This window comes from Homo sapiens, chromosome 5, assembly GCF_000001405.40.
Source record: "Homo sapiens chromosome 5, GRCh38.p14 Primary Assembly".
Taxonomy (NCBI): Eukaryota; Metazoa; Chordata; class Mammalia; order Primates; family Hominidae; genus Homo; species Homo sapiens.
The window spans coordinates 414,893-428,935 of NC_000005.10; the positions used below are offsets into that span (position 1 = coordinate 414,893).

Here is a 14,043-nt window from a genome sequence, read left to right on the forward strand (position 1 = left end):
GGCTCAGCAACGAAGGACTAAAGGGACTCTGAGGACACAGATACAGCAACAGAGGGGCAGCAGTGCCCACAGGGCCCAGGCGGGGGCCGTTGGAAACCCCAGCCCCACTGAGGCTGAGAGCCAGACCCTCAGTGGCACGGGGTGGGGCCATGGCCGGGGCAGTGGAGAAGTTCCCAAGACGTTCAGGCCAGGGCTGGTAGGAAACCTCCCTTTGGGACCCAGGTGAGATGCGCACCTGGAGGCCGCTAGGCGCTGGGGGAAGCTGTGACACTGCGGGGTGCACACCGGCCCCAGGGGAAGCCCTACCCCTGCACTACCCAGCACCTCTGCCTACGAGGAAAGGGTCCCAGAGCCAGCATTCACGCTGAGCCAGAGGCAGCACACGGTGATTAAAGCAAAAATCTGCCTGGTCGGGTGGGAGGCCTAGGGGCCGAATCTGCCTGGTGGGGCGGGAGGCCTAGGGGCCGAGTCTCCCTGGTCGGGTGGGAGGCCTAGGGGCCGAGTCTGCCTGGTCGGGTGGGAGGCCTAGGGGCCGAATCTGCCTGGTCGGGCGGGAGGCCTAGGGGCCGAGTCTGCCTGGTCGGGTGGGAGGCCTAGGGGCCGAGTCTCCCTGGTCGGGTGGGAGGCCTAGGGGCCGAGTCTGCCTGGTCGGGTGGGAGGCCTAGGGGCCGAATCTGCCTGGTCTGCTGGGAGGCCTAGGGGCCGAATCTGCCTGGTGGGGCGGGAGGCCTAGGGGCCGAATCTGCCTGGTGGGGCGGGAGGCCTAGGGGCCGAATCTGCCTGGTCGGGCGGGAGGCCTAGGGGCGGAGTCTGCCTGGTCGGCTGGGAGGCCTAGGGGCTGTGCAGAGCAGCAGGCAGTGGAAGCCACGAACCACCCCGCTCGCCCACACTAGTCCCTGACAAGTCATTAGAATTCACGTCTGCGCAGGCCCTGAGGCTGCACAGTTTTATCCAATTTCCATAAGAGCTGGGCTTTTGAATTTTTTCCCACAGCTGAAATTGCTGCTGCCTTGCTGGTGATTCTGCAAAAAAACTCCTCTAGTCCGCCTCTAAGTTCAATCTCCTGCCCCTGAGCCCAAGGCCAGTCTCCCTGTGAACTGCAAGGACCACGTGACTGCCGGGCCCATTGCAGTGAGCTTGTTTTCTGCACCGTGGCTGTGTCTGCACACTGGATGCCTCCTTGGGATGGCCTCTCCCCCAGCATCCACGTGAAGGTGCAGCTCGTCAGCACGCCTGGGCTGGCCCTGGTGGAGGACGCAGGGGGACATGGCTGTGTGCAGGGAGAGGGAACACCGTGCAGTGGACATGGCTGCCAAGGGGTGTCCAGGCCACTGCCCTGTTGGGAACGCAGTGCAGGGTGGAGACACAGCTCTGCTGTCCCAGCAGCGACCTTGATGGCTCTGAGCCTCATTTCCTGTGCCCACACAATGGCCAGCAGCGGTGTTTGCCTGCCAGGCTGTGGCCAGACCACGGGGCCACTGAGCAGGGGAGTGCTGGGAAAAGCCCTGGTGCCCGGCACGGCGTCTCCTACCACAGAGTGACATCGCTCTAGGCGGCTGCTGTTGACACCACGTGACCACAGGCTTTGCTGAGTGTGCCCTGGTATCTGTGGTTGGGGCACTGTCATCTCCTGATGCGCCCTGTGAGAGGGGACCTGAAGTGACGCCTGGTGGGTCCCTCGTTCCCACAGATGGCATCAGCGTCTGGGTGGCCACCCGGCATCCTCTTCATCTCCATCTTCTGTGCTCAGATCCCATGGAGCTGCCGTGGGATGCTTCCTTTACACGTGTGGAGAGTAGTGGAGTGGGTCCGTTGGGTCCGTAGGCGTTTGCTGGGGTTTGGTGCATCCTTCACTGTGGGGTGCCGTGAACGGGGGAGCACTCACAGTACAGGACATGGGCGGACATGACGGTGTGGCTCGATGACTTTGTCAACTTAAACAGAGCAGCTTCGGCTTGGTCTTTTTGTGCAGGGCCCATGTCTAGAGAAGGTGGCTTGGTCCATATGTGCAGGTCCCGAGTCTAGAGAAGGCGGCTTGGTCTTTATGTGCAGGGCCCGAGTCTAGAGAAGGCCGCTTGGTCTGTATGTGCAGGGCCCGAGTCTAGAGAAGGCGGCTTGGTCTTTATGTGCAGGGCCCATGTCTAGAGAAGGTGGCTTGGTCTGTATGTGCAGGGCCCGAGTCTAGAGAAGGCCGCTTGGTCCGTATGTGCAGGGCCCGAGTTTAGAGAAGGCGGGGTCTGTATGTGCAGGGCCTGAGTCTGGAGAAGGCCGCTTGGTGTGTATGTGCAGGGCCCATGTCTAGAGAAGGTGGCTTGGTCTGTATGTGCAGGGCCCGAGTCTAGAGAAGGCGGCTTGGTCTGTATGTGCAGGGCCTGAGTCTGGAGAAGGCGGCTTGGTCCATATGTGCAGGTCCCGAGTCTAGAGAAGGCCGCTTGGTCTGTATGTGCAGGGCCTGAGTTTAGAGAAGGCGGCTTGGTCCGTATGTGCAGGGCCCGAGTTTAGAGAAGGTGGCTTGGTCTGTATGTGCAGGGCCTGAGTCTGGAGAAGGTGGCTTGGTCTGTATGTGCAGGGCCCGAGTCTAGAGAAGGCCGCTTGGTCTGCCTTCTGCATGCTCAGAATCACTGTCAACTCTAGTTACTGCATCTTGAGCTGCCCTGAGTTCTCCAGATGCACCCAGAGCCGCTGCCTTTAGCCATGGCTCGATGGTCTCACCCCAGGGTTTGGCTTTGGGGACTGGGGCAGGTGCTGTGCAGAGCAGCTTTGATTCCAGGTCAGAACTTGCTAATTGGACTTTTTGTTTTCTTGGCACTTGGTCATTTTTCCCCAAGCATGAGAAGTTAAAAAAAAAAAGTTTTGCCTTGATTATGAGGAAATTGGTTCCAAATGCCATTAAATCAGGCATTGCCTCTAGTTTATGCAAAATATCTCATGAAAAAATTAGAGCAGCTTTGTGCTTGTGTGAGCTTATTGTGCAAAATGCTTTACAAAAAGTCAGGAACCAATTATTCCCAGTCACAGCATGAGTGCATGATTTCAGTGTCTTCAAGCTCAGCATGCTTAGTGATGAATAAACGGCTTTAGGCGTATATTTTAGTTGCCATTGACATTTGTTGATTCAATAAGTTGTTCGTTCTCTCAAAGATTAGAGCTCGTCGATCAGAGCAGTTAGAATCCCACAGGCATGGTTAGCAGATGTGTGCAAGCTTTTGCACAAAAAGGTAAAAATGTTAGCTGCTAGAGTGAGCAGCATATTGAAATTGGAAATGATTTTATTCTAAACTCCCTAAGTGGTAGTGTAAAACTAAAGTAAAGACTGTCTTTAGTTGACGAAAGGAGGGTTTGTTTTTGTACGGTTTGGATAATTTTAACATCATGCTCTCCCCCTCCCATTTCTCCCACCATGTCTCTTGATGTCACTTTGTAGGAATTAGACTTTAAAAGATTAAGAAAGACTTAGGGCAGACATGCCACACTGATGATTAAAACACAGAACTTTGTTCCCTCAACCCAAACAGGACTTACATCTCACCCTGTCTTCAGATTTGCCTCAGTTGGAGAAGTCTTTCCAGCTCTCCTGCACCCTCCTCCACATGTGCCATCTGGCCTCGGTTCAGCAGCAGACCCTTTCTCGCCTGTTGATTCCCTTTTGTTACCTGACTGCGGGGTTGGAGATGATGGATGAGGCACTCGGGGAGGCCTGCGGCTGCTCAGGGAGGGCACTTGGGGTGGGGGTCACCTTCCAGGGGTCTACAAAGCTCAGGGTTGCCTGTGGAAACTCATGCGAGGGCCATTTTGGTGTAGGTCAGCAGGGCGGGACTGCAGCTGCTCTGGCGCAGGAGGCGGCAGACTCCATGCTGAAGAACTGGAGAGAGAGAGCTCCAGAAGATGCAGGGCCTCATGATCTGGCGCAGCACCAGCTACTGTGAGGACAGCCGGGTGCCCATGCAGCAGGTGCACCCAGGCCTCCAGCACTGCCATGTGCCTCTGGCGCAAGCGCAGGTCTTGGTGACTGGTGAGTTGGAGAAGTCCCAGGACCGCCTGACTGGGGGCACCAGGCATTACAGTGACAAAGCCAGATTCCCTAGATGCGGGGAGTGAGGGCTCCAGGTGAAGCAGCAGCTGCTGGCCATGTGACCATGGGTGCAGATGACCTTGTATGCCTCATCCTGACCGTGACCACAAAGCTGAAGGAGTCTCTCTCTTCTATTGGGAAATAAGTCTTTGCCTGTGGTCGTTGGGGCTGAGGGCAAGAATCTATTTTTTAAAAGGAATGGGATTTTTTTTTTTTTTTTGAGACAGTCTTGCTCTGTTGTCCAGGCTGGAGTGCAGTGGCACAATCTCGGCTCACTGCAACCTCTGCCTCCTGGGTTCAAGCAAGTCTCCTGCCTCAGCCTCCTGAGTAGCTGAGATTACAGGTGTGTGCCACCAAGCCTGGCTAAATTTTGTATTTTTAGAAGAGACGGGGCTTCACCATGTTGAAGCCAGGCTGATCTCAAACTCCCAACCTCAAGTGATCTGCCCGCCTTGGCCTCCTAAAGTGCTGGGATTACAGGCGTGAACCACTGTGCCCGGCTGAGAGTTTTAGTCTTTTAAGCAACATTTATAAATGAAGAAATTAGGGATGGCAGCAAGTGTAAGGGGAATGTTGCTTGCCTCTGGATGCTGGTTCCTCTGCGTTTCACTTCTAAAAAACTGGCCCTAAAACGTGTCAAGAGCTCGCACAGGAGTGTTTGGAGCCATATTTCCCATTGTCCTGGCAAAGCCGGGGCCCTCCATGGTGCCCGGCTCTTACTGCACAGGGACCAACAGGCCGGCCCATAAGAGCTGATGGGGTTGGTATTTCTGTTTGTTGCCAACCCCTGTTTACCGGAAGTGTCCCCACACCATTTTCCATAAGCTGTGAAACAAATGTCATAAGGTCTCTAATTTAGAAGGGGGAAGACCCAGGTTTCTGGGTCTTTGTTTCCTTGGTTTTGTGTTATGTGTGCCAGGGTGTAAAGTGGATTTTAAGATGTGGAATTGGGAGGTAGAGTGGTTTAGAATAAGAACTCCGAAAGGTTCCTTGTGGATCCCCTTTTCTGGCCATCGGGATGTGGATGTGCATTTGTTAAACTTCTCACACGCTGCATCCTTCAGCCTGGAGACCCTTTGGAAACACGAGGTGACGCCACGGTAGTTATTCAGCTAAGCTTCCCTCTGACGGGCCCTGAGGCTGCCGCCATAGAGCGGCAGAACCGTGCAGTTCCTGGAGGAGAAGGGGGTTTTGATTGCGAAATGTTCCAGTATCCAGAGTGAACACTGAAGGAGGAGCCGTTGGCTACTTGGTAAGAGAGCTGTGAAGTCCTGGATTTGGGAAAACCTGTTTTCATAGAACAGGATGGGATGGAAGCCTAAACCCAGCATTCCTTACTAGCCCCTGAATTAACAGAGCCCAACGAAGACAATCCCCTGGCAACAGGAAGTCAAGGGAGAAAGAAGGAGCCCCAGGCTGGGAGGAGTGCGGACTCCCCGAGCAAAGGAGGAGTGACCCCCCACTGCTCACCAAACACTAGCTGGGGGGCCTTTGCAGTTGAACGGAGGTGGGGCCTGCAGATGCTGGGCAAGCTGCTTCCCTGCAGGAGGAAGCCAGTCTTGAGTCCTGGCTCACACCACAGACAGCTTCAGGGCATGATGGAAGTTTCCAGAAGATAACAGGGCAGAGCTAGACCCATGAGGAAACATTTCTCAGGACAAAAGCCTTCCCCATGTGGAGAGGATGGAAGGGTTGGGCCTTGTGGTGTCCACCAGGAGGGCGGGATGGCAGCGGGGACACCTTGCATGGAAGGCGGCCCAGAAGGGACTGGGCAAGGCAGCTGGACGGCTCAGTGGGGATTCCAGAAAGAGACACCTCCGCGCTGCACGCACGCAGCCACGCAGCCACCCACCCACGCAGCCACCCACCCACGCAGCACGCACAGACCCACGCACGCAGCCACCCACCCACGCAGCACGCACAGACCCACGCACGCAGCACGCACGCATCCAGGCACGCACACGCAGCCACCCACCCACACAGGCGCACATACGCTGGCACCGCTGAACAGCCAAAATATACACGATGGTTCTTCTTATGGTTCAGGAGGTGGAAAGTTGAAACCATAGCAAGAAACGTGGCCTATCCACCGCAGCGACTAAAAGATAAAGAGGGAAAAGGACAAACATTGGCCAGAAGGTGCAGCGGCTGGAGCGTTCGCGCCTTAACTGGAAGAGGAGCCGCCCCGCCTGGGAGGCCGCTCTGGCGCCCGGCTGGTGCCGGGCAGGAGGCCCTTGCGGACCCAGCGGCCTCCTCGTCGGCAACGCCCACCCCGCGGTTCAGCCACGGAGCGGATGCCGTGTGCAGGCACGGAACGGGCGAGGCTGTTGCGCTGCAGGTGCCCCCACGGTCGCGATGCGGGGCAGGGGGATGCCGGTGGGTATCATCCCTCCACGTGGAGTCCGCGCACAGTACCAGCCCCCACACGGAGGGCGGCCCGGACTCAGAGGCACAGGCAGAAGCAGCCTCGCGGGTGCCGGCGATGCCCTGTGGCCTCATCTGGGTGGGGTCCCGCGGGGTGTTTTCTTGAAGGTGACTCACCCAACGGTGTGTTCGTGATTGGGCGCATTTTGGCCTAGGTTACCCTCCAGTTACAAGTCCTTAGGAAGGCACCATGGCAGAGCCGCGGAGGAGTGCACCGCGGGGATGCTGGCGCCGCCCTTTTCACCTCGAGGGGTCTCTGTTCCTCTGTTCACCGCTTTCTGTGACAGCGCATTCACAGAAGGGAACTGCGGAGGCACAGACAGAGTCCAGCCCCTTTAGTGAGGGCCACCTCCTCCTTCTGCTCTCCTGAGGCTGTGTCTCATCTTGTTCGGGGAGCCCCGCAGGTCCTTGCCATTGGGTTGCTTGAAGATGCTCGTCCCTTTAGGGTGAGTTTGTTAGTTACATTCCTCTGAAGTCTTGACTCTTAAGGAGCTCCTCCTCCAGTTAGGAAGAACCACTTGGTTATTATCACGATAATAAATGCCATTTAGAATTAGGTCACCCAGAAAGAGTCCTAAGGTTCTAGCAGTCCCTGGCACGGTTAATTATTCGGGGCTGGCGGGTGGCGGGCCAGGCTCCAGGTGCAGATGCCTGACTTTCTTCAGTTAGGAGAAGGGAGAGGACGGTGGGATGGCCGGCCTTCCTCAGGCGCCGACACGCTCACTGGCAGTGGTGACAGCTGAGTACCCCTTGAAGTCAGTCTTCGTGGCCCGCAGTGTCAGCCTCTGTCGCCAGACATGGACCCTGGGTGCCTGTGAGGGTCAGCCTCTGTGTCAGGGCCCAGATTAGCTTCTGAGCAGGTGGAAGGAGAGAGGACTAGAGAGAGGCCTGTGAACTGGCAGGTCCTTGAGGCATCGTGAAAGTGGGTGAAGGTTGAGGCCTGGGTGTCAGGAAGAAGGAAATCACAGGCCATAAGATGTGAAGTGATGGGAAACCGAGTCACAAAGAGTCCAAGTCGACAGGAAAGTGGATGTCTTGGCCCCAGAGTGTCTGCGGCCCAGAAGATGCCCGTCTCTTAGCCTCCCGCTTGCCCCGAAAGGCTGGATGTGGGCACCACTTGGCGGGCAGACGGGTGGGCGGGTGCTCCAGGCAACTTAGACATCTTCTCAGGAGGGAGTGGGGAACCGGGGCCAAGCGCCGTCTCTTCGGTGGGATTCTCTCCCTGTGGCTGTGACTTGCTTTGACAAGTGGAGTGGAAATTTTTCGGTTACTCGTCGGTGGAATAAAGTGTCTAAAGCCACTTGGGGTAAGGCTGAAATAATCTTGTTGCGCTATTTCAGACGGATGTAATGCACCAGAACATTTATGACTACATCCACGTGGACGACCGCCAGGACTTCTGCCGGCAGCTCCACTGGGCCATGGACCCTCCCCAGGTGGTGTTTGGGCAGCCCCCGCCCTTGGAGACAGGTGGGTGTCTGGGGTCCAAGTGAGTCAGCAAAACCTAAAGCAGGTCCCATAACACATCGCTGCCTCTGGAAATGACCCTGTCGCACCTTCTTGGTGTGCTTTGCCTTACACATTGACCTTAGCGCCAAATCTCACCTTTCTTCAGAGGCCTCCTCCCATGTCCCTCCCTGTCCTCTGATTCGGCTGCCACAGCTCCGTGTGGCTCGAGTGTGCTTCACTCCTGGTTGCTTTCCTGGGCTCTGCCAGGCTTGAGGTCACCGCCATTCTTGTCACCTCACCACGAGCTGCAGTCCTGGCCTCTTGTTTTGCAAACTCCCCTCAAGTCTCACGTCTGCCAGGAAGTTTCATACAGTTTGCTTCATACTAGAGTTATCCAATAAAAGTCCCTGAAAGATTGTTGCCATTCAGAGTTGGTTGCCCCTTTTCACAGAAGACCCCTGCACAGGGCTTGCTCTCAACCTCCCTGTGGCGCTGACTGATGAGATAAGCCTGGCAGGTGTGGAGCTCCTTGACAGGCAATGACAGGCGGGGGCTGTGCTGGGACAGTTGCATCTGGGCTCTGAGGAGAGGCGACACCTGCCCGCGGTCCTGTGCAGAGGGTGGCTCCTGGGTTCTCTCGCACGTATCCGCAGAAGCCTGAAATAATTCACGGAAAGTTTCCACCATGACAGTATGATTGACCTTAAAACAGCAAAGCCCAGGCACCTACATGCAAGACCCTTCTGTAAAGCTAAAAACAAGCAAGATGAAACCATTGGTCCATCGTCATGCATGCACATGTACTAAAAACGATGTTTTTAAAGGCAAAGGATGATGAAGGCAAAATTTGAGTGACATCTAGAGGGATGCTGGGGGCGGGAGGATGGCACAGTGATAGGGTTTACATGACCTGGCGCGTGAGAGCCGTGGGCGTGGTTGTGCGTGTGACACGTGTGTTTTGGCTTCTCCCACCGCCACGCCCCTTGGCCCCTATGGTCTGCAGGAGATGATGCTATCCTGGGGAGGCTGCTCAGGGCCCAGGAGTGGGGCACAGGCACGCCCACCGAGTACTCGGCCTTCCTGACCCGCTGCTTCATCTGCCGTGTGCGCTGCCTGCTGGACAGCACCTCGGGCTTCCTGGTGAGTGCGTGGGTCCCTGGCAGGGGGCTCCCGACATCTGGGATGCATTCTACCCTGGTGTGGAAGGAAACAGAGGGCAAGAGGGGGTGGGGGCGTTAAACCACATGTCCCTGGTGGAGGGACGGGGGCCGGTGCTGAGCTCTGTGTACCCTGTGATGGTGTGGGGGTGTTAACCCATGTGTCTCTGGTGGGTGGGAGAGGGCTGGGCACTGAGCTCTGTGCACCCTGTGATGGTGTGGGGGTGTTAACCCATGTGTCTCTGGTGGGGGGGCGAGGGCCGGTGCTGAGCTCTGTGCACCCTGTGATGGTGTGGGGGCTTTAACCCACGTGTCTCTGGTGGGTGGGAGAGGGCTGGGCACTGAGCTCTGTGCACCCTGTGATGGTGTGGGGGTGTTAACCCATGTGTCCCTGGTGGGGGGGCGAGGGCCGGTGCTGAGCTCTGTGCACCCTGTGATGGTATGGGGGTGTTAACCCATGTGTCTCTGGTGGGTGGGAGAGGGCTGGGCACTGAGCTCTGTGCACCCGGCGATGGTGTGGGGCTGTGACGCCTCTGGGCATGCGTGATGAGTCAACCGTGAGGCCTGCTGTGGTGGACAAGCCAGGTCGATGAGAATGTAAAACTCTGCAGTAGGTTTATACTCTAGTTGTACCTTTATTTAAAACTTATTAAAATATTTTTTAAAATGTGCCCCACATCTGCCAAGGGCTGGCAAACTGGGAGAGCCTCTGGCTGTGGCTGGCGTGAGTGGCTGAGCCCATGGCATCTGCTGAGCTTTTTGGTTTCACCCTCTTCTCTTGCAAACAGATACTTGGGGTTTTCACTTCTGCTATTTGACCATTTCTTCTTCCAGCTCCTCATTGAATCAGAGAACTCCTCCCCATCGGACATGTCAGGGCAAAGGCCTCCCACCCTGTCCCAGAGCCCTGCCCACCTTGCAGACCCTCCAGGCACTGTGGTCCCCCTGGCCACAGCACAGTCAGCCCTGGGTCATGGCCCCTCAGAGCCCCAGTGGTGGCCCTTGCTGTCTCCTGGCTGCAATTCAATGCCACAAGGCCCTCAGACCCCAGCACCCCACAAGGCCCTCTGACTCCAGCACTGTAGCTGGGCAGGCCCCCTGGGCTCAGCTTTCCACCCATTTGTGGACCCATGACCTCCTGGGGACCTTGGGTGCAGACGGTCCCCATGGCAGAGGTACCTGTGGGTCTGCCTGTTTCTGTGTCTTTCCCACCCACTGGGTGCCTGGTGGAAGGACCAGCTCTCCACAGGCCCCAGATCTGTTGCCACGCACACGCCCCAGGGCACATCTTTCATTTAGGTAGCTAGGGACAATAAAGTTTTATTTATTTATTTATTTATTTTTGATGGAGTCTCGCTCTGTCACCCAGGCTGGAGTGCCTGGTGCAATCTCGGCTCACTGCAAGCTCCGCCTCCTGGGTTCACGCCATTCTCCTGCCTCAGCCTCCTGAGTAGCTGGGACTACAGGCGCCTGCCACCACGCCCGGCTAATTTTTTTGTATTTTTAGTAGAGACAGTGTTTCACTGTTGGTATTTTGTTCTAAATTTTGAGGAAATTAAGATACTTACTTTTATTGGCTAAGGAATGTTGTTCGTTTTTTAAAATTGTATAACCAATTCCTGGTTAATTAAAAACTCTTATTTCTAGGTGACCCAAAATTGGAAGGATTTTACTGTGCAGCCACTGGAATATAGTTTAAAATGGAATTGTCAAACAAAGAACTGAATGGAGGAAACAAGCCAGAGAAATTAGATTGATGCTAAAATATTGCAATAAGGTTTACACAAATACGTGTCTGATTCTGTTTTCCCATTAAAATCCATTCATCCACAGCACCATAAAGGGCTCCTGTATTGACACAGAATACACCAAGACCCTGCAGGACCTCACGGCTCTTCCCGGCTTTCACCCTGAGTGGTGCAGTCTTGGCAATGCGGGTGTCATGGAAGCTCCCTCATGCCACCCACAGGGCCAACTGAAAATGGTAGTTTTTGAGATTCGGCTGAAATTAACTTGGGAGCTTGAAATCAGCTGTGTTGGGAATATTTATACTAAAAAAATTGGCAAACACTGCATATCTGGGAATTTTTCCCCCTGGAGAGCTAGATGTTAAACATTTCCCAGCACACCGCTGCCTTGAATCCCCACCAATTATGTGACTGCTACACAGCAGGTGTTTATTATTTGTTTAATATATCCATGGACAGATGGAAAGATGGATGAATGGATGAATGGATGGTTGGATAGATGGGAAGATGGATGGATGGATGGATGGATGAGTGGATGGATGAGTGGATGGATGGATGAGAAGATGATGGATGGTTGGATAGGAAGATGATGGATGGATGGATGGGAAGATGGATGGGTGGATGGATGGATGGACAGATGGAAAGATGGATGAATGGATGGATGGATGGTTGGATAGATGGGAAGATGGATGGACAGATGGAAAGATGGGTGAATGGATGGATGGATGGTTGGATAGATGGGAAGATGGATGGATGGATGGATGAGTGAATGGATGAATGGGAAGATGACGGATGGATAGATGGACAGATGGATGGATGAATGGGAAGATGGATGGGTAGGTGCATAGATGGACAAATGGAAAGATGGATGGATGGACGGATGGGTGGATGGATGGATGGATAGATAGAAAGATGGATGGGTGGATGGGTGGACGGATGGATGGATAGATGGATGGGTGGATGGATGGCTAGATGGACAGATAGATGGGTGGATGGATGGATGGATGGGAAGATGATGGATGCATGGACAGATGGATGAATGGATAGGAAGATGGATGGATGGATGGATAGATGGGAATATGATGGATGGGTGGAAACATGGATAGATGGATGGATGGGTGGATGGATGGATGGATGGGTGGGTGGGTGGCTGGGTAGATGAATGTATGGGAAGATGGATGGATGGAAACATGGCTGGATGGATGGGAAGATGATGGATGGAAACATGGATGGATGGATGGATGGGTGGATGTGAAGATGGATGGGTGGGTGGATGGATGGATGGGAAGATGATGGATGGATGGGTGGGTGGATGGATGGGTGGATGGATGGATGGATGGAAAGATAGATTGGTGGATGGATGGATGGATAGAAAGATAGATGGATGAAATAAGGATAGAGGGTGGAGCCACATTGTGGGGTGATTCTTCCATACAAGGCAGGAGTACCCCTGAAGGCCCTTGGTAAACAACTAAATTATACATCAGCCTTCCCTTTGTAGAGAGATATTTTATTTTCTTATATAACAAACTCCTAGCTTACTTGCTGGCTTTTAAAGTCTCACTGTACACCCTAGATAAATAAAATCAAGTCGTGCCTAAATTTCATAATTACAAATGAAGAATTGATAATTTGGAAATGGAGTGTTAAAGCTGAAACAATCCTTGGAGATCATCCACTCCTGCGAATTCTTGCCAGGGGTTTGCCGCTGGCCCGGCTGTGGGCAGGTGGCAGGTCCCACAGGCGCAGTTCGTGCCACCTGCGCATGGGGTGGCACACATGAACAGGCACACACGCGGGAATGAACCTGTCAAAGGCCGTCGCCGCGGCTCCAGAGAAACTGGGAGTGGGGGATGGTTTCAGGATGATTCAAGCACATCGAATCACTCTGCAGGCCCGGGGGTCACAGGCTTGGCAGCTGCGGCTCTGCTGTCCCGAGCCACTCATGGTGAGCTGCCTCCCTACGAATTCCAGCCGCTGTCGCGCCCTTGAGTTCTGTGTCCTGTGACCACCTTGCCAGGCCACTTGGTGAACACGCCTTCCTCTCTGTCTTTAAAACACCAGACGATGCAGTTTCAAGGAAAACTAAAATTCCTGTTTGGACAGAAGAAGAAGGCGCCGTCAGGAGCCATGCTCCCGCCGCGGCTGTCGCTGTTCTGCATTGCGGCACCCGTTCTCCTCCCCTCCGCAGCGGAGATGAAAATGAGGAGCGCGCTCCTGAGGGCAAAACCCAGAGCAGACACCGCAGCCACCGCGGATGCAAAGTGAGTAAGACTCGCCCTTCACAGCCACATGGTGCCTGCTGGCGGCCCCCACAAAACACCTCCACACTCAGTGTTTTCTGTGTCTTCTTTCTTCATTTCCAGCCAGTAATAAGTCAGTTTCGTGTCGTAAAAGTCATTACACAACATAGGCAGCAGCGATTAGATGAAACAATGTTTTTCAAACTCGTATTTGCAAACTGGCACCAAACGTTGCCTGTATCGATTCATTCCTAAATCATCCTGTTACAGAACCAGTTTCAGAATAAGTGTCCTGACCCCGTGTCCTCAAGAAAATGCGGAGCTGGCTGTGGCCCCTGCCTTTCTCCATCTCTTGGCTGCCCGCCCTTCACACCGTCTGTCTATGGACAAGTGGAGGTAGTTCCCGGCTGCAGGACATGCCGGAGAGATGCGTCCCTGGTGGGCAGATGGAGGGTGAACGGCACAGCTGCCCCTCCAGCTGGTCCTCGTCCCTGGCCAACCCAGGCCTACCCACAGCTCCCTCAGCCTTTCAGAAGTAGAAAACACCCTGTTGGTCCCCGAGCTTGTTGGTACTAGGGACCAGTTTGGTGGAAGACAATTTTTCCACAGACTGGGAGTGGGGGGATGGTTTCAGGATGATTCAAGCACATTACGTTTACTCACTATGCATTTCATTTCTGTTTTATTACATTGTAATATATAATGAAATAATTATACAACTTGGCATAATGTAGAACCAGTGGTAGCTCTGAGCTTGTTTTCCTGTAACTAGGCGGCCCCATGGCGGGGGTGGGGGTGATGGGAGACAGTGACAGATCATCAGGCATTAGATTCTCATGAGCTCGAACCTAGGGCTCTCCCTCACATGCACAGTTCACAACAGGGTTCACAGTCCTGTGAGAATCATGCCCCAGCTGAGCTGACAGGCAGTGGAGCTCTGGCGGTCACGC

The 14,043-nt window shown here is 54.5% G+C and overlaps 1 protein-coding gene and 1 long non-coding RNA gene across 4 annotated transcripts in view, besides 2 other annotated features; both read left to right on the forward strand.

Annotated features, from left to right (window-relative positions):
* Window positions 1-14,043, forward strand: part of PDCD6-AHRR (PDCD6-AHRR readthrough (NMD candidate)) — a 166,640-nt gene that overhangs the window by 143,247 nt on the left and 9,350 nt on the right. The window contains exons 8-11 of one of the 2 annotated variants that reach the window (NR_165159.2): window positions 7,837-7,966; window positions 8,949-9,085; window positions 12,745-12,798; window positions 12,915-13,114. This is a non-coding gene — a long non-coding RNA (PDCD6-AHRR readthrough (NMD candidate)). The remainder of the gene's footprint in view (window positions 1-7,836; window positions 7,967-8,948; window positions 9,086-12,744; window positions 12,799-12,914; window positions 13,115-14,043) is intronic. The other variant, NR_165163.2, reaches the window with a different exon arrangement.
* AHRR (aryl hydrocarbon receptor repressor) overlaps window positions 1-14,043 on the forward strand; it is a 116,572-nt gene that overhangs the window by 93,179 nt on the left and 9,350 nt on the right. For both annotated transcript variants that reach the window (NM_001377236.1, NM_001377239.1), the window contains exons 6-8: window positions 7,837-7,966; window positions 8,949-9,085; window positions 12,915-13,114. In NM_001377236.1, coding sequence (NP_001364165.1) covers window positions 7,837-7,966; window positions 8,949-9,085; window positions 12,915-13,114 — 467 coding nt within the window. The remainder of the gene's footprint in view (window positions 1-7,836; window positions 7,967-8,948; window positions 9,086-12,914; window positions 13,115-14,043) is intronic.
* Window positions 244-797: an enhancer, noted in NCBI's record as "H3K27ac-H3K4me1 hESC enhancer chr5:415251-415804 (GRCh37/hg19 assembly coordinates)". NCBI's record gives its function as "activates a minimal SCP1, AML or CMV promoter by ChIP-STARR-seq in primed H9 embryonic stem cells {active_cell/tissue: H9 hESC(primed)}" and the evidence as "EXISTENCE:reporter gene assay evidence [ECO:0000049][PMID:30033119]".
* Window positions 9,799-10,418: an enhancer, noted in NCBI's record as "active region_22284". NCBI's record gives its function as "activates an Ori minimal core promoter by ATAC-STARR-seq in GM12878 lymphoblastoid cells {active_cell/tissue: GM12878}" and the evidence as "EXISTENCE:reporter gene assay evidence [ECO:0000049][PMID:35858748]".